The 19,559-nt window shown below is 41.7% G+C and overlaps 1 protein-coding gene across 3 annotated transcripts in view, besides 1 other annotated feature; it reads left to right on the forward strand.

Annotated features, from left to right (window-relative positions):
• FAM81A (family with sequence similarity 81 member A) overlaps positions 1-19,559 on the forward strand; it is a 125,575-nt gene that overhangs the window by 16,080 nt on the left and 89,936 nt on the right. The window lies entirely within an intron of this gene.
• Positions 14,772-14,968: a silencer, noted in NCBI's record as "fragment chr15:59721031-59721227 (GRCh37/hg19 assembly coordinates)". NCBI's record gives its function as "represses an EF-1alpha promoter that drives an FKBP-Casp9 reporter gene in an ReSE screen in HepG2 liver carcinoma cells {active_cell/tissue: HepG2}" and the evidence as "EXISTENCE:reporter gene assay evidence [ECO:0000049][PMID:32094911]".

Here is a 19,559-nt window from a genome sequence, read left to right on the forward strand (position 1 = left end):
CTCTTCCAGCCTCCTGAGTAGCTGGGATTACAGGTGTGCGCCATCACCACGCCCAGCTAATTTTTGTATTTTTAGTAGAGACAGGGTTTCACCATGTTGGCCAGGCTCATCTTGAGCTCCTGGCCTCAAGTGATCCGCCCGCCTTGGCCTCCTAAAGTGCTGGGATTATAGGTGTGAGCCACCACACCTGGCCCACATTCTAATTCTTGGAACTAGTGAATATGCTACTGTAGGAGAGGAAAGACTTCCCCTCACTCTCCGTGGGTTTCATAGCTGAGTCCATGAAATGAACTGACAACAGGCAGATTAACAGGAGAAAAGTTATACAAATGTACTGTGTGCATGGGGCATCACAGGAAAGAAAAGGGAATACCCCCAAAACCAGTGGGATTTAGGAGCTTGTATGCCCTCTTCACAGGGGAGAGAGGAGGAGGTATGTAGGCAATTTAGGAGAGAGTAAGTGATTTTGGAATAAAAATGAATGGGCCCTTCTCTTGGTGTGGTGTTGGCTTCTTGTTTTCTCTCCTGTGATGAGTTAATCTTCCCTAGCTGATGAAACTCCTGAGGAGGGGACTGGTGACAACTGAGTTCTTTTTTGAGGATCTGTATTTAGGCAGATGGGGAATTAAGAGAAAGCCTCCCCTTGCATTTGCTGTTTTTCAAGTACCTCCAGCTCTAAGTAATCAATATAGCAAACTGGTGTATTTAGCGATGGCATTTCCTGAACTCCTTCATTACCTGACGTGGTAAAAGGAAAAAACTTTTTTTTTTTTGAGATGGAGTCTCGCTCTGTCACCCAGGCTGGAGTGCAGTGGTGGGATCTCAGCTCACTGCAAGCTCCGCCTCCCAGGTTCACACCATTCTCCTGCCTCAGCCTCCCAAGTAGCTGGGACTACAGGCGTCCGCCACAATGCCTGGCTAATTTTTTTGTATTTTTAGTAGAGATGGGTTTTCACTGTATTAGCCAGGATGGTCTTGATCTCCTGACCTCACGATCTGCCTGCCTCGGCCTCCCAAAGTGCTGGGATTACAGGCGTGAGCCACCGTGCCCAGCCTGTTTTTTTTTTTTTCTTTTCGTGATGAAATTTTGCTCTGTCACCCAGGCTGGAGTGCAGTGGCACGATCTCGGCTCACTGCAACCTCCGCCTCCTGGGTTCAAGCAATTCTCCTGCCTCAGCCTCCCGAGTAGCTGGGATTACAGGCATGTAACACCACGCCTGGCTAATTTTTGTATTTTTAGTAGAGACGGGGGTTTCACCATGTTGGCCAAGCTGGTCTTGAACTCCTGACCTCGTGATCCTCTTGTCTTGACCTCCTAGAATGCTGGGATTACAGGCGTGAGCCACCGCACCCAGCAAAAGGAAATTAAGATTGCTAATCAGCTGATCTTGAGATGGGGCCAATCTAATCATGAGTGCTTAAAAGTGGAACAGGGAGGCAGACGAGAGGCTTGGAGAGATGCTACGTTGAAAGGACTTGATCTTCTGTCATGTGCCAAAGAATGCAGGCAGCCTCTAGAAGCTGGCAGAGGCAAGGAAACTAAACTTTTTCTAGAGCCTCTAAAAAGAATGCAGCTCTACATACATTTTGATTTTAGCCCAGTGAGGCCTATCTTAGACCCCTGACCTGCAGAACCGTAAGATAATAAGTTTGTGCTGCTTTAAGCCACTAAGTTCATGATTTTTTATTTAATGACAGCAAAAAGAATAATACAGAGGCTGAGAGGAGTTAGCTGCTCTTGAGTGATGGAAGGATTCCACATTCAGAACCACTCTCCTATACCTCTTGCTACTAAAACCATTCAATATCAATGATTTGTTGTTAAGCAGAAATGAACTGATTAAGGGATACTCAGTAGTTTACAGAATCTCTGGGAGGGTCACAGACTGGGTTCTGGAGCACACAGCCAGGTACAATCCCTGAACATACTGTAGGGCTGCTCTTCTAAAACATTTAAACAAATCTGTTTATATGTTTACTTTGGAAAGTTTCAAACCACAGAAAAATGGAAAGAGCACTATAATGAATCCCCATATCTCCTGGACTTGGTTGGGTTTCCCTCAAAGGAGATCCTGAGAGAACTTGGGTACAGGACATTTATTTGGGAGGTGATCCCAGAAAGCACAAGTGAAAGGGTGCAGGACATGGGACAGGAAAGGAAAACACAGTAATAATATGTGCATTCCTGTGGTGGTCACCGCTGTGTGCAACCGGGGCTCCGTCCTGGGGACCTTCTGGGAAACCATGCACGATAAGCTTCCCATTTGTCTCGCCAAAGGATGGAGAGACGGGGGCTTTTGTCCACTGCCTCCTCTCCCCTTTGGTTAAGAGTCAACCCTGAGAAAGTCAGCTGCCTCAGTTTCCAGGTTGTGCCTAACCAGTAGTATTGCACGCTTCTCTGTGCTGGAGAAAGCCCTCTGGCAGAGAAGCCGTGAGATGCGTCATTTGAGGTGTCAAGTCTTCCCATGGCAGAAACTGTGAACCACAGCTGTGAGTGAACTCAAACAGGAGCTGAAGGGATGTGGGGTGGGGCATCAACATCATCTGCTACAATCCCTCCTAAGATTTACTGCTAACATCTTGCCGTCTCTTTCCCTCTCTCTCTATACACCCACACATACGACAAAGATAAAGTATTTATCATGTGCCGGGCACTGTGCCTCTATTCAGCCCTTGAGTCTGCATAATGACCCTATGAAGCAGGTATCCCATACCTGTCATGCTTAGCGGTCACTGGAATCATTCCAAAGGGTGCTGGAACCATTCTATTTTCAAATATCATTATGCTGGAAATTACATTTTGTGCAACTATTTGAACTTATGGTGACAAATTTTAGATGCCAACCTAAAAATATACAGGAAGGTGCATAGTTTTTCAAAGTTCTTTCTGCGAGTAAGCAGCCAAAGAGTCCCCATCCTAGACTTGTGCCGTCGTGTCTGCATCTGGTGCTATGCCCAGAATCACTGAAGAGGATGATGGGGGCTGGGGTAGGGGGAGACATGGGGAAGGAGCTAAGACACTTCTGTGGTTGCCCTGAAAGAATCCTGGGAAATACATTTTTAAAAGAAAAACAAAATGAGGGATGCTATAGATAGAAAGTGAGTTCAGCTTGCTGAAGGTCCAGATGGATGCGTGCTGAATACCCAGGCTGTGCTCTCCACATTCTGATTCTGTCCCTCTCGGAGCCTGAGGATGCTGAGTTAGTGGTCACATGCCGTACCACCCTGTCGCCTCCCCTTTTATATTTACTTCGTTTTCTTAATGTTGCCTCCCCAACCTCTAAATGTTCAACTTACTTTATGATCAAAGTAGCTATTTAAAAACAAACAAACAAACAAACAAACAAAAAAACAAGCTTTTCTGGCTGGATGTGTTGGCTCACACCTGTAATCCCAGCACTTTGGGAGGCCGTGGTGGACAGGTCACTTGAGGTCAGGAGTTCGAGACCAGCCTGGCCAACATGGTGAAACCCCGTCTCTACTAAAAATACAAAAAAAAAAAAAATTAGCCAGGCATAATGGTGCACGCCTGTAATCCCAGCTACTCAGGAAGCTGAGGCAGGAGAATTGCATGAACCTGGGAGGCAGAGGTTTCAGTGAGCCCAGATCATGCCACTACACTCCAGCCTGGGCAACAGAGTGAGACTCTGTCTCCAAAATAAATACATAAATAAATAAAAATAAAAAGATTTTTTTTGCTTGATTATCCCTTTTATTTTTTTTATTATACTTTAAAGTTCTAGGGTACATGTGCACAACATGCAGGTTTGTTACATATGTATACATGTGCCCTGTTGGTGTGCTGCACCCATTAACTCGTCATTTACATTAGGTTTATCTCCTAATGCTATCCCTCCTCCCTCCCCACAACCCACGACAGGCCCCGGTGTGTGATGTTCCCCTTCCTGTGTCCAAGTGTTCTCATTGTTCATTCCCCACCTGTGAGTGAGAACAAGTGGTGTTTGGTTTTCTGTCCTTGTGATAGTTTGCTGAGAATGATGGTTTCCAGTTTCATCCATATCCCTACAAAGGATATGAACTCATCCTTTTAAAATAGGATTTTTTATCTAACTTTGTCGGGAAGACAAGCTGACACTTTCTTCTCTTCTAGAGCACAAATACGGTAGCATTCTCTTCACAGTGCAAGCACATTGAGGGCACGATGTGAGCTGTGAGGTAGTTGTGAGGCTGTGATGAGAAATGAGCTATGGGGGCAGAGGCAACAAACAGTGACAACAGAAAAGCTACCTTACGTGGAGAAGAAGTTCTTTGGATGCAATTTATCTAACTGAGTTTTACAATCAATCAAACTCATCAGCTATAACCCTGCCTTTTCCTGTTTAGAAAACATTTTTACCCCTGTAATTTACAAGGGCAAGCTGGTTGGTTCTCTTGAATCCATTCTCCCCAAAAGTAGAGCAAGAAAGTTTAGAAAGGGTGTTAGAATCTGGTCTAATCAATAGCTCGATCCAGGTTATGAAGGTGTTTCCCAAGCTTGGTGCAATGTTCAGTTTAGTTCATGTATTCAGCTATTTTTTCCTCCCAATTTGTTGTTCATGTTACCCAGGCATGGTAGGAAAAACCGTAAAGGGCGACTTTCCTTGCTCGATTTCCTCTTCATGTCTGCTAACATGGGGAAAGAGCTTAGGCTTTGAAGCCAGACAAGCATGTGTTTAAATCCAGGCTCATCAGTTATTAGTTCTGAAGATGGATAGCTTATTTAAATTATCTGAGCCCCAGTTTCCTTTCCTGCAGAATGGAGGTGATGTCTCCTCCTCACAGAACTGCTGTGAGGAATTAGCAAGGGCATGTGTGCAGACAGCCCTGTCCATTGATATACAATTAATGATGACCAGTGTTAATATTGTCATCATTATCCTTCTGATCTACAATTTGATTTCTGAACAGACTGGCTGTAGAAAAAAAATGTCTTAGGCAGAAGACTGATTCAAATCTCTTGGCTGGTTTCATCCTAAGTTGTAGAAATTAGAAACTGGTATTCTGGTTTTAAGTCACTGGTAGTTGGTTACTAAAATCATTTCATCAGTTCGATTATCTGTAGGCCTAGGGTAATGTCCTGAACACAGTAGGCACGCCCATAACAACGATAATATCAGCAGTAGTAAGGAATAATTTGAATAACCCTTTAATCTATAAAGCAATTACAAAAACCATCTCATTTAACCCTCTCATAAAAACCTATGATTTAACTAAAACAAATCCTGTTATTCTTCTCATTTAGGGAAGTGGAAGATACAATAAGAGATATTAAATAACTCTCACTTTTGTGCCTTTGAACTCCCTGTTTCCTCCCTAGAAACTTCCCCTAATCTCTCTTCTATGTATGAAATTGCAACACGTTCATCAAGGACCATTTTAAGTTTCCTCTCCTCTTTTCATAGGAAAGAACTCATTCTTTTCTGACCTTCTACAGTACTTGAAGTGTGAACCACATTATTTAGTACTTCATTACCCTCTCTTTCATTTCTTCCCAATGGTTTCCTGTGTTTGAATTCTATTAAAAAACAACAGGCCGGGCACGGTGGCTCAAGCTTGTAATCCCAGTACTTTGGGAGGCCGAGGCGGGCAGATTGCTTGAAGTCAGGAGTTCGAGACCAGCCTGGCCAACATGGTGAAACCCTGTCTCTACTGAAAATACAAAAATTGGCCGGGCGTGCTGGCGGACGCCTGTAATCTCAACTACTTGGGAGGCTGAGGCAGGAGAATTGCTTGAGAATCACTCCTGGAGCTGGATTGCAGGGAGCCGAGATCACACCACTGTACTCAAGCCTGGACAACAGAGCGAGACTCCATCTAAAAAACAAAAAAACAAACAAAGAAACCAAAAACCAACTACAGCTCTGCCCCTCTGGAGGTTAGGGATCATGCAGCTGGAATGTATTTTGGGTCTTGCCACCCAGCCCCTTTCCCCTTCACACTCCCTAGCCCAGAGCTGGACTCAGAGCCAATGCCTCATGCATACTGGATTGATTCACAGAGAATTTACCTGAAATCCTGGCATAGAAAATCCATTGCAGGATAAAAATGGAGAATGACTCTTTAGGGACTGCCATCTAAGAAGCAGGGCAAAAATGTTCCTGCTAGGAAATTACAATTCAAGAAACAAACACAAGCAGGAAACACATCTCTTACATGCAGCTTCTAGCGCTGATTCTGGCAATCCCCATTATACCCTGGTAAGTTTAAGTGACTAGGACTTGACTTTAGTCACTGTGTCCCCAGCTTATGCCACTGTAACCATATGTAGGCGGGGACATCTTTTGTGGGTTCATGTCATTGTTCTTCCTGTTGCAGTGATGAGAATTAGCTTCATTGTCTAACAAAATTAAACAACCCTTAACTAAGGGAAGCTAAATAGCAACTGATATTTTTGGAGGCTCTTTCAAATTAGGACAGCTGAGTCTAACGGAAAAACAAACACATTTTATACCAAATACCAGTTGCATGTTGTTGCATACCAAATGTCAGCCTAGAGAGAATTTTTCCTTTCGTTTCTTCATTTTTATCACATTTCTTCCCAGTGCTTTATAAGATTTATTGTATAATCCCAATGATTTTAATGACAGGGTTCCTACCCCCAGTATCACTCATCCAGTGACGAAGCCAAGGAAGGCTCTTTTTTTTTTTTTTTTTTTTTTTTTTTTTTTTTTTTTTTTTGAGACGGAGTCTCGCTGTCGCCCAGGCTGGAGTGCAGTGGCGCAATCTCGGCTCACTGCAGGCTCCGCCCCCTGGGGTTCACGCCATTCTCCTGCCTCAGCCTCCCGAGTAGCTGGGACTACAGGCGCCCGCCACCTCGCCCGGCTAATTTTTTGTATTTTTAGTAGAGACGGGGTTTCACCGTGTTAGCCAGGATGGTCTCGATCTCCTGACCTCGTGATCCGCCCGCCTCGGCCTCCCAAAGTGCTGGGATTACAGGCGTGAGCCACCGCGCCCGGCCAGGAAGGCTCTTGAAGAACGTGCTCTACTGTGTTCTGGTGGGGTCACGTTCTCTAGGCCAGTACTTCTCAGACTTAAATGTGCATACGAATCAGCAGGAGGTCTTGTTAAAATGCAGATTCTGATCCTGTAGACCCAGGTTGGGACCCTTGAACTCTGCATTCCTAACAGTAGAGGGGCTCGTGTTCTTGTGCATAGATCACACTTCGACGGGCAATGTTCTAGGTAGAATTGGAGCTCAGTGGAAAGGCAGATCCCTGACAGCTTGAACAAAGATTCTTGTGTGGGAGTAGATGTGGACCCCATCACTGTAGGTCAGAAAGGTCCTTAAGTCCATGATGGCTCTGCTTTAAAGGCAGGACAACCTGGGGAGGACCTTAGTTTCTGGAGGAAAATGGGCAGCTTAGCGTATAGCAGGAGCGTATATACGACGGGCTGGGAGCTCTCCCTGGTGCTGCTTAAGACTTCCCCCAAGTCTGCTTTCCTCACAGGAGCCTCTCCCGAATTTCTGCTCTTTTGTCTAAAATGTCAGTCTAAATCCTTACTTGTAATTGTGCCCTACTTTGCCGTTGCTGCCTGGCTATACCTTGTATTTATTGCTGGCCTATACCTGGAGTCCTTGGTCCTTCTTGGGAAAAAGTATTGAGGTTTTAAAGCTCTTATCCTTGGGGACAGATTAAACCCTTAAACTATCTATCTGTCTGTCTGTCTGTCTATCTATCTATCTGTCTATCTATCTATCTATCTATCTATCTATCTATCTATCTATCTATCTACCTACCTAACTACCTACCAAAAAAGCATTGAGGTTTTAAAGCTGTTATCCTTGGGGACAGATTAAACCCTCAACCCTCTATCTATCTATCTATCTATCTATCTATCTATCTATCTATCTATCTATCTATCATCTGTCACCTATTTATATCCACTTTAATTTGATATTTTTGACCAGGAAAGGAAAAGAAAGTTCATATGGCCATATCTTTTAAACAAAATAAGGTACATAACAGGTGTTCATTGTATTTTTTTTAATTGAGGTGAAATTTCACATAACATAAAATTAAGCATTTTAAAGTATTTTTAAGTGGGCCAGGCACAGTGGCTCATGTCTGTAATCCTAGCACTTTGGGAGTCCGAGGCAGGAGGATTGCTTGAGTCCAGGAGTTCAAGACTAGCCTGGCCAACATAGTGAGACCCTGTCTCTACACAAAATAAAAAGAATTAGCCAGGCATGGTGACACATGCTTGTAGTACCAGCTTGTAGTATCCCTGAGATTAGGGTATCACTTGAGCCCAGGAGTTCGAGGCTGAAGTGAGCTATGATCAGGCCACTGCACCCCAGCCTGGGTGACAGAGTGAGACCTTGTCTCTAAAATAAATTAAAAATAAAACAAAGTGTTCTATTCAGGGGTGTTTTGTATGTTCACACCTCTATCTAGTTTCTTTCTTTTTATTTTATTTTATTTATTTATTTTTTGAGGTGGAGTCTCGCTCTGTCACCCAGGCTGGAGTGCAGTGGTGTGATCTCAGCTCACTGCAACCTCCGCCTCCCGGGTTCATGCCATTCTCCTGCCTCAGCCTCCGAAGTAGCTGGGACTACAGGTGCCTGCCACCACGCTCAGCTAATTTTTTGGAATTTTAGTAGAGACGGGGTTTCACTGTGTTAACCAGGATGGTCTCAATCTCCTGACCTCATGATCTGTCTGTCTCAGCCTCCCAAAGTGCTGGGATTACAGGCGTGAGCCACATGCCCAGCCACCTCTATCTAGTTTCAAAGCATTTAAAACATAGTTAAATGAAATCTGCATGAAAGTAAAGTTAAAGATTCCTTGAGTGGTTCATAAGAAATTTCTGTCATTTATTGAATTCACAAGTTAATTTAAGTTTTAAATGGTAAATTTCTTAACTGTATGAATATTTTTTCACTTTGCTTTTTTATTTGCCTATGGAATAATGATAATAATGATAGTAACAGCTGTTATTTATGGAATGCTTACTACATGTGAGAGACTTTGTATATATTTTCTTTTCCAATCCTCACAACAACCTAATGAAATAGGTATTATTATTATTTTTTATTTTTTAATTTTTACTTTTTAAGACGGAGTCTCGCACTGTCGCCCAGGCTGGAGTGCAGTGGCGCGATCTCGGCTCACTGCAAGCTCCGCCTCCCAAGTTCACGCCATTCTCCTGCCTCAGCCTCCCTAGCAGCTTGGGACTACAGGCGCCCGCCAACACGCCTGGCTAATTTTTTGTATTTTTAGTAGAGACGGGGTTTCACCCTGTTAGCCAGGATGGTCTCGATCTCCTCACCTCGTGATCCGCCTGCCTCGGCCTCCCAAAGTGCTGGGATTACAGGCGTGAGCCATCGCGCCTGGTCTGAAATGAGTATTATTATTAACTTTTGATAGAAAAGGACACTGCAGCTCAGAGATTTTAGCAAACTTTTCCCAAGGTCACAGAGTTATCGCTTGGCTGAGCTGAGATTTAATCCAAGTCAATCTGACTCCAAGACTTGACCTCTAAATCACAGCACAATAACGTTTCTTGTGGACACAGACTTATTATATGTGACAAAAGGGAATTATGGAGAAACGTAAACTCTTAGGAAGCAATAAAATGGATACACATAAACTCAAGGTTAAATATTTGGAAATAAGGAATGAGAAGCTAACAAAATACAGAAATTTTTATAGAACCATTCACAATTAAGGAGATTTCATGCTGAAAGTTTTTCATATAATGTAAGAGACTTATATTTAATTACTCACGGGTCAGGATTTTTAAACATGATTTATAACTATTACTGCCTCTCTCTTATATCACTGATTTCTCTTCCTTTACTGGATCATTCCTATCTGAAAGGAAACCTAGGTTAACATTTTCCATTTTTTTAAAGAACGAAACAACTTATCTTGACCCCACATCATTTCTTTCTGGCTACCTTCCCATTTGTCTGCTCCTTTCACTGCGGAACTTCTTGAAAGCATTGCCTGTGGTCACTACATTCTCATTCACCTCCCATCTTTTCCTTAGCCCACTCCAGTAGAGATTCTGTCCCCACCATTGCACCCAAACTGCCCTCATTAAGGTCACCAGTGACCTCCTTGTTGCCACGTTCATCACTCACTTTTTGGGCTATACCTTTTGGAACTTTTCAGCAGCCTTTGACCCAGCTGACCAGAGGGTTCATACCCTCCTTGAAACTCTTCTTTTGTCTTCTGTGTTACCACACTCTCCTGGTTTTCTTTCAACTATGAAGGCTCTTTCTTCTCAGTCTCCTTCCTTGGTTCTTGGTTCTTGATTTCTGGCATCTGGTTCTTCCTTCTCTGGCCCAGGGCTTCATTCTGAACCCCATACATTTCCCCATGTGCACATCTTCCCTAGATAATCTCATCCAATCACAGGGCTTTATGTATCTCCTGTATACTAATGCTAATCAAAGGATGGCTTCTGCTCAAATTCTCCCCAAAACTTCAGACTCACAGTTCCAGCTGCCATCTTGATGTTTTTTCCTAGAAGTTGGTAGGCATTACATACTTGACAAGTCCAAAACTAAGCTCTCGATATCCACCACTGAATCTGCTTTTCCCACAGAGTTCTCCATTTCATAAATGGCATCATTATTTACCTATTTGCTTACGTTATAGAAGAAAAGCCAGAAAAAATTCTTGATTTCTCTTTCCTCTTTTCCTGCATCACAAGTTCGCTGAACTCTACCTCTGCATTCTAGTCAAAGTCAGTCCACCGTGTCTATATCTATTTCCTCTGCAGTCATTGTAATCCAAGCCACTGTCATACCTCACTACTACAATAGCCTTAAAACTGGTTTCTCTACTTTCTCTTCCTTCTCTTATGCCCTCGTAATTCGTTCTCAAAACAGCCACCAGAGTAAATCAGATCAGTTACTCCTCTGCTTAAACCATTCCATGGCTTATATCAAATACAACCAAAACTATTTACTGCAACTTTCAAACTTCAACATACATTCTCCTCTGGTACTCCTCTTTTTCCCTCTTTTATTTAATTTTAATTTTAATTTTATTTTATAGAGATGGGGTCTTGCTATGTTGACTAGGCTGGTCTCAAACTCCTGGTCTCAAGAGATCCTCCTGCCTCAACCTCCCAAAGTGTTGGGATAATTTTTCCCCTTAGAATGTAAGCTCCATGAGGGCATAGACCACGCAATGACTACAGTGTCCCTGTGCCTATGATAGTGCCTGATACAGTCTAGGTGCTTGATGGATGAAGAAATTGAGGCTCAAACAAATAAAATGACTTACCCCAAATCATCGACTTGGTGAGAGATGAAGCCAGAATTTGAATGCAAGTCTTTGAATCTTGGAGTCCTTCTTTTTCATTACCATTCATGTAATATGTGTTCAGCAGATAATTATTTTAATTATCTGAGTTATGGAAAAAGGCCCCTGACCTTCTGTTATTCATAAGCCTTATTTAAAAATTGCTAAAATAGTTTTTTTCTTTTTTATTGCTTTATAAAGTATTATTACAGTTACACACAGAAAAATCGTACTTTAAATGAATACTCTATCTGGAAAATATTTTTGTTTTAGTAAAATAGGCTTTGCCTTGGCTATTCTTTTATTTGTTTATTTGTTTGTTTTTGAGACAGGATCTCACTCTGTTGCTTATACTGGAGTACAGTGGCATGATCATAGCTCACTGCAGCTTCAAACTGCCAGGCTTAAGTGAGCCTCCTGCCTCAGCCTCCTGAGTAAGTGGGACTACAGGCCTGCATCACCATGACTGGATAATTATTTTATTTTGTAGAGATGGGGGTCTCACTATGCTGCCCAGGCTTGTCTTGAACTCCTGGCCTCAGGCGATCCTCCTGTCTTGGCCTCCTATTGGGTTTACAGGCATAAGCCACTGCACCCAGCTGGCTATTCTATTTTTAATGGGCTCAAACTGAACTTAAAAGTCATCTTCTGATTTTGTTTGGTCAGAAAGTTATTAAAATATATTTGGAACAATTTGCTATGCAGTCAATGAGTTTATGTTCTTTTGAACAAAATTAGTTTTTAAATTAGTCTTTAGTCCTCTAAAAAAGGCTTCATAATGCCATTCTAAAGTGGAAGAATTGTGGTTTGCTAACCACACTTTTTGAATTGTCTCCAAAACAGAAATACAGAAATTATGTCCTGGGAATAAAGGCAGTAAGACTCTTAAAGAAATAACCAGAAGAATTTCAAAATAATAGGTACAAGTACTTTTAAAATATTCTATAATTTATTTCTCCTAACTCTGGATTAAAAAAAAAAATTGGCTCTAAGAAATACACGTACTGACCAGGTGTGATGGCTCTTGCCTGTAATCCTAGCACTTTGGGAGACCGAGGTGGGCGATCACCTGAGGTTGGGAGTTCAAGACCAGCCTGACCAACATGAAGAAACCCCGTCTCTACTTCTCTACTAAAAATACAAAATTAGCCAGGCGTGGTGGCGCATGCCTGTAATCCCAGCTACTGGGAGGCTGAGGCAGGAGAATCGCTTGAACCCAGGAGGCAGAGGTTGCGGTGAACCGAGATTGCGCCACTGTACTCCAGCGTGGGCAACAAGAGCGAAACTCTGTCTCAAAAACACCCAAACAAACAAACAAAGAAATACATGTACTCAGTTTATAAAATCAAACTTGCTTATACTGATGTTTCTTCATCTTTTACTGTTAGACATTATCTAGTCACTTCCTACTAAGGAAGGTGAGGATTTAGTTCTCCAACACGCCTCGACATACCTCTGCCACATACACTTCCCCCCTAAGCTTCTCAATAGAGTGACATAGCAATCTTTCATTAAACCAACACTCAGTAACATATTTACATTATAACTATTGTTCACAGCTGAGTCAAGTATGATTGAACACATTTCTTTTAACTCTTAGCATTAAGCATTGCCTTTTCTTGGGCTATTAGTTTTTTATGCACATATCACTAGTTCATCTATAAGCTTTCTGACAGAACTGTAATTCCCTTCGCTAAGATCAAACATATCAGACAATCTGTTTCTGTTTCTTTCTCCCATTTGCCTGGGAGTGACCTCCCTATAGTGCTCTACTTCTTGGTTTTATTTTATTTTATTTTTTATTTTTGGGAGCACCGAGTCTCACTCTGTCACCCAGGCTGGAGTGCAGTGGCCTGATCTCGGCTCACTGCAGCCTCCGCCTCCTGGGTTCAAGTGATTCTCCTGCTTCAGCCTCCTGAGCAGCTGGGATCACAGGTGCATGCCACCAAGCCCAGCTAATTTTTGTATTTTTAGTAGAGACGGGGTTTCTCCATGTTGGCCAGGCTGGTCTTAAACTCCTGACCTCAAGTGATTTGCTTGTCTCAGCCTCCCAAAGTGCTGGGATTACAGGCTTGAGCCACCATGCCTCGCCTCTTTTAGCTATTTTTAAATGTGCAATTAAATGATTATTGACCTATTGATAGCAAAAGTTACCCTGTTGTGCTATGAAATACTAGATCTTATTTATTCTGTTTTTTTAATACTCATTAACCATCCACACTGCCCCGCTAGGCCCCACTCTCCTTCCTAGCATCTGGTAACTGCCATTCTACCGTCTATCTCCATGAGTTCAATTGTTTTAATTTTTAGCTCCCACAAATGAGTGAGAACATGCAAAGTTTGTCTTTCTGTGCCTGTTTTATTTTACTTAACATAATGACCTCCAGTTCCATCCATGTTGTTGTAAATGACAGGATCTCATTCTTTTTTATGGCTAAATAGTATTCCATTGTGTATAGGTACCATATTTTCTTTATCCATTCATCTGCTGAATACACTTAGGTTGCTTCCAAATTTTTGTTATTGTGAATAGTGCTGTGATAAACATAAGAGTGCAGATATCTCTTCGATATACTGATTTCCTTTCTTTTGGGTATGTATCTGGCAGTGAAACTGCTGGGTCATATGATAGCTCTATTTTTAGATTTTTGAAGAACTTCCAAACTGTTCTCCATAGTGGCTGTGCTAATTTACATTTCTACCAACAGTGTACGAGGATTCCCTCTTCTGCACATCTTTGCCAGCGTTTGTTATTGCCTTTTAGGATAAAAGCCGTTTTAACTCGGGTGAGATGATGTCTCACTGTAGTTTTGATTTGTGTTTCTCTGATGATCAGTGATGTTGAGCACCTTTTCATACACCTGTTTGCCATTTCTATGTCTTCTTGTGAGAAATGTCTATTCAGATCTTTTGTCCATTTTAAATTGGATTATTAGATATTTTTCCTATAGAGTTGGTTGCATTCCTTACATATTGTGATTATTAATTCCTTGTCAGATGAGTCCTCTACTTAATCCAATCTGCAGTGATTGCTCTCCATCAGACCTGCTTGACATCACTCTGGGGCTTTTCTTAGTCCTGAGAATTCTTTTTGATATTATTATTATTATTATTATTATTATTATTATTATTATTATTTTGAGACAGAGTCTTACTATGTTGCCCAGGCTGGTCTCAAATTCCTGGGCTCAAGTGCTTCTCAGGCCTCAGCCTCCCCAGTAGCTGGGATTATAGGCACCTGCCATGGTTCCTTTCATATTACCTTGAGGTGCATCTTCTACTACCTAGATCCATGTCTACTCCTTTTTTTTTTTTTTTTTTTTTTTTTTTGAGATAGTGTCTCACTCTGTCACCCAGGGTGGAATGCAGTGGTACAATCTCGGCTCATTGCAACTTCTGCCTCCCAAATTCAAGCTATTCTCATGCCTCAACCTCCCAAGTAGCTGGAATTAGAGGCGCAGGCCACCATGCCAAGCTAATTTTTGTATTTTTAGTAGAGATGGGGTTTTGCCATGTTGGCCAGGCTGATCTCGAACTCCTGAGCACAAGTGATCTGCCTGCCTCCGCCTCTGAAAGTGCTGGGATTACAGGCGTGAGCCACCACACCCTTCCCATCTACTCCTTTTTGATCTACTTTCTCATACCTAGAAAATATTTCTCAGTGGATTCCTGAGAAAGGGTGCATATGAGGTACATTGTTGTGAACTGAAATACATGAAAATATTTTATTCTGCTCTCAGCCTTGATGGATAGTTTAGCTGGGTGTAGAATTCTTGAATGGAAATAAGTTTCCCTCAGGATTTTAAAGGTACTATTCTTTCTTCAACTGCTAATATTGGGAAAACTGATGTTATTCGGATTCCTAATTCTTTGTATGTGATATTTAGTGCCTGGAAAATTTTGGATTTTGTTTTTATCTTTGTGTTCTGAAATTTCAAAGTCAGTTGTCTTGGTATGAATCTTTTTTTCGTTTACTTTGCCAGGTTTCTGGTAGTTCTGTTCAATCTAGATACTCATGTCCTTTCATTATAAGAAATTTTCTTCTACAACTTGTGCAACTTTAGGAGTTTTACTCTGAGCACCCTTATTGGTCATCCTGTCCTTCTGTATTGCCTATTAAAAAAATCTGTGTTGAAGATTTTTTAAAGTTTTACTTAGAATTGTTCCTCTCTAAACTTAATAAAAGGAAAGCTGATATCTCCTGTGGAAGTGTTCCTACATATACCACTATTATCTCCCCTTGGAAAAAGGGTTGACTCTTGCTTGGAAAAACAAGAGTCAAATTGATTATGTTAAAGTTAGTATTAGGTATATTTGGGCTTTAAACTTACAATGAATTAGCAATAACTTTGCATATATCACTGGGATTTATTTTAAAAAGAATGTTTTGACTTTTAAGTACTGTAATTAGAAAATTTTATCTCCATGTGTAAAATAAAATAGTTGAATCAGTATCAATTAGACCTTTATTTTTCTCTCTGGATTTGGGATAAAATAAGCCAGGGAAATTTAAGCCCTAATTTCTGATGTAATAGATGTAGGCAGAAGTCCTAGTTAGGAATAGGTGCACTCCTGATGCTGAGAACAGGGCAGGCAGGTGGCGAAGAGTCTTAGAGGGTTGAGTCCAGGCCAGGTAGTAGGACTAGGGAGGTGTGAGTCTTCTTTGTTCTGGGTATGCTTTGTAATTTTACTTTACCATTCATGAGAATAAACCAAAACAATAAAAAAGAAAAATAAACTAAACAGCTGAAAGCAAGGGCCAGATAATTGTCTGGTGGTGGTGATCACGGACTCCTCAGCCATTGCCAGCCACATTTATCCTCAGAGATTTTCACTGGGAGAAAGAATGATTTCAACCAGCAGGGGGATGGGGAGGATAGGACAGTGATGTCACTTCCACCCTTCCTGTGGCACCAAATACACAGACCTATTTCCCTTTTTTTTTTTTTTTTTTTTTTTTTTTTGAGATGGAGTCTTGCTCTGTCACCCAAGCTGGAGTGCAGTGGTACAATCTCAGCTCAGTGCAACCTCCGCCTCCCGGGTTCAAGCAATTCTCCTGCCTCAGCCTCCTGTGTAGCTGGGATTACAGGCATATGCCACCATGCCCGGCTAGTTTTTTGTATTTTTAGTAGAGATGGGGTTTCACCGTGTTAGCCAGGCTGGTCTTGAGCTCCTGACCTCAGGTGATCCACCTGCCTTGGCCTCCCAAAGTGCTGGGATTACAGGTGTGAGCCCTATTCCCCTTTTTAAGGGCTTCATTTGGTACCTAATTTGGTTCAGTCATGTCAGTGGGGCAGGAAGGATTCAGATAAATACAAAGTAGAAACCACACTGTGACAATGTCACTCATTGCTTTAGAAGAAGAGAGACCTTGGAATTTGTATTAGGTACACCCCAAAATGATGCAGGAGATTAGGAGCTGCATGTACATTTGACTATGACGTTGAAAACTACATGTAAGGAAAAGAGATGGTTTGAGTGTGGCTGGGACCAGAAGGATTCTTAGAATTGTTCCAAACCAAGCAATAGCAGTAATATTATATGGAATGAGTTAACCAGATTAATTAACAAACTCTGTCTCCCTGTGTAGGACATAATAGTTGAACCAATATTAATTAAATCTTTACTCTTCTGACTGAGTCTTGGGGGACATTAGTAAATAAATGTGTATGTTAAACATAATAAATAATATAAATAATAACTAAGATGTTATTCTAAGCTCTTTATATGAATTGGTGCCTTTGATCTCCATTTGAACCTGATGAGGTAGGCACTATGTTATCTTCATTTTACAGGTGAGGGCACTACTTAACCCAGTCTGCAGTTACTGCTTTCCATCAGACCTGCTGGACATCACTCTTTCACTCTTGGGGCTTTCTTTTGTCATAGTCCTAACAATTCCCTTTGCTATTATCTTTTTTTTTTCTTTTTTTTGAGATGGAGTCTCGCTTTGTCACCCAGGCTGGAGTGCAGTGGCGCAATCTCAGTTCACTGCAACCTCTGCCTCCTGGGTTCAAGCGATTCTCCTGCCTCAGCCTCCTGAGTAGCTGGGATTACAGGCAAGTGCCACCAAGCCCAGCTAATTTTTGTATTTTTAGTAGAGTTGGGGTTTCACCATGTTGGTCAGGCTGGTCTCGAACTCCTGACCTCATGATCCGCCTGCCTTGGCCTCCCACAGTGCTGGGATTACAGGCGTGAGCCACTGCAACCAGCCTTTTTTTTTTTTTTTTTGAGACAGAGTCTTACTATGTTGCCCAGGCTGGTCTCGAATTCCTGGGCTAAGTGATCCTCTGGCCTCAACCGCCCCAGTAGCTGGGATTATGGGCACCTGCCATGGTTCCTTTGATATTACCTTGGGGTACATCTTCCCCAAGGAAAGTCAAAGAGAGCTTAAATAACTTGCCCAAGCACATACAGATAGTTTCCAGCACCTTTAAAGTATGAATCCCCTTAAGGGGAGAAAGAAAATGTCAATTTTATTATTTATGTTTCCCAGGGGAAGAAAAAGCTGTTTCCTGAGTCTACAGTGATGAAAACCTACTACGTGACTATGTGGGGCTCCAGTGCCTGGTAGAGAATCCTGCAACCCTTTCACATTGCCTTGGGAAACCTGTGTGTGTGCATGAAAATGATTTAAGTGTATTCAAATATGGGAGGGAAAACAAAGACGATTATACCTATTTATCTCTTTAAAAACAACTGCATAATATTAATTTATCTTACTTTGTTATTTTTCTTTTTTCTTTAATTTTATTTTACTTTAAGTACAGGCTATGTATTGTCTATTAATTACAATTTTTAAACACTGCATCACTCTATATGCCTTTACCTGGCAGGCATGTACTCATAAAGCGCTCGTTTCAGTTTAATTAATTAAGAAGATGCTCAAATCCCAAAACATGTTTGGCTCTGTGTATTTTAAACTAACAATTATTTGATTGGATTTATCTGGGTAAGTACACGAATCTTCACTCCTTTGCTAGTGCAGACCTGAGGTGAAGGTGTAAGAAATCAGAGATAATGTTAAAATTAATTTGCTCCCTCAAAATAAATTTTTATAAGTTACTATTCACATTCTTTGATATGTGCTGTCCTTGGGGAAGACAGGGGAATGAAAACAACATTTATTTAGTTCTCACTGTGCCATACACTTTACCTACTGAAGTTTGTAAGGCATTTTTCCTCCTCAGTCTCATTTGGTTTTTATGCGGCAATCTTGCACCTGGTACCTACAAGGCACAGCTGTGACATCAGAGGGGCCCAAGTTCAAATTCTAGCTCTAGAACTTAATAGCTTTGGGACCTTGGACAAGTTACATAATACCTCTAAGCCTAAGTTTATTCATAAGCTGTTGCAAAAAAGAAATAAAGTACTACAAGTAAGCATTTAGCACAGGGTCTGACATAAACATTGGCTATGATTGCAACAGGGCCAGGGCTGAGGGGAGGTGAGTGAGGCAAAATTTAAGGTGCGACATTTAAGGCAAACTCAATGATCAAGATAAATAGTATTTTAATGCAATATTTAAAAAATCAGGCCGGGCATGGTGGCTCACGCCTGTAATCCCAGCACTTTGGGAGGCTGAGGTGGGCAGATCACGAGGTCAGGAGATCGAGACCATCCTCCCTAACACGGTGAAACCCCGTCTCTATTAAAAAAAAAAAATACAAAAAATTAGCTGGGCATGGTGGTGGGTGCCTGTAGTCCCAGCTACTCGGGAGGCTGAGGCAGGAGAATGGTGTGAACTCGGGAGGTGGAATTTGCAGTGAGCCAAGATCGCGCCACTGCGCTCCAGCCTGGGCACAGAGCGAGACTCCGTCTCAAAAAAAAAAAAAAAAAAAAAAAAAATCAAAATTGGGCTGGGTGCAGTGACTCACGCCTGTAATCCCAGCACTTTGGGAGGCCGAGGTGGATGGATCATGAGGTCAGGCTATTTTAGGATTTCTGGCCACAAACTCTTTGTAGAAAGACTTCTTTATTTCAGATTTCACTCTTGAAAGTGTTATGTTGAGGGCTCACTTGTATGCTATATAAATACACCCTGAGGCTGAACTTTCCCTGTTATGTACAACTGCAATTATCTAAGTTAAGACGTAAACATTATTAAAAGGATCTTCTCAATATTTTGTGCTTTCTCTGCTGGTTGTACTTTAGGCATAACTACTTCAAAAACATTATTGCGAGATGGATTAGCCACCAATGAATTCATAAGCAAAACATAATATTTGAGAGAATGAGCCTATACATGAAGAAAAATTACTAGCAAAAACAACAGAGCCAATTGTAGTTTATTCAAAACGT

The sequence above is a fragment of the Homo sapiens genome, chromosome 15 (genome assembly GCF_000001405.40).
Source record: "Homo sapiens chromosome 15, GRCh38.p14 Primary Assembly".
Lineage (NCBI taxonomy): Eukaryota > Metazoa > Chordata > Mammalia > Primates > Hominidae > Homo > Homo sapiens.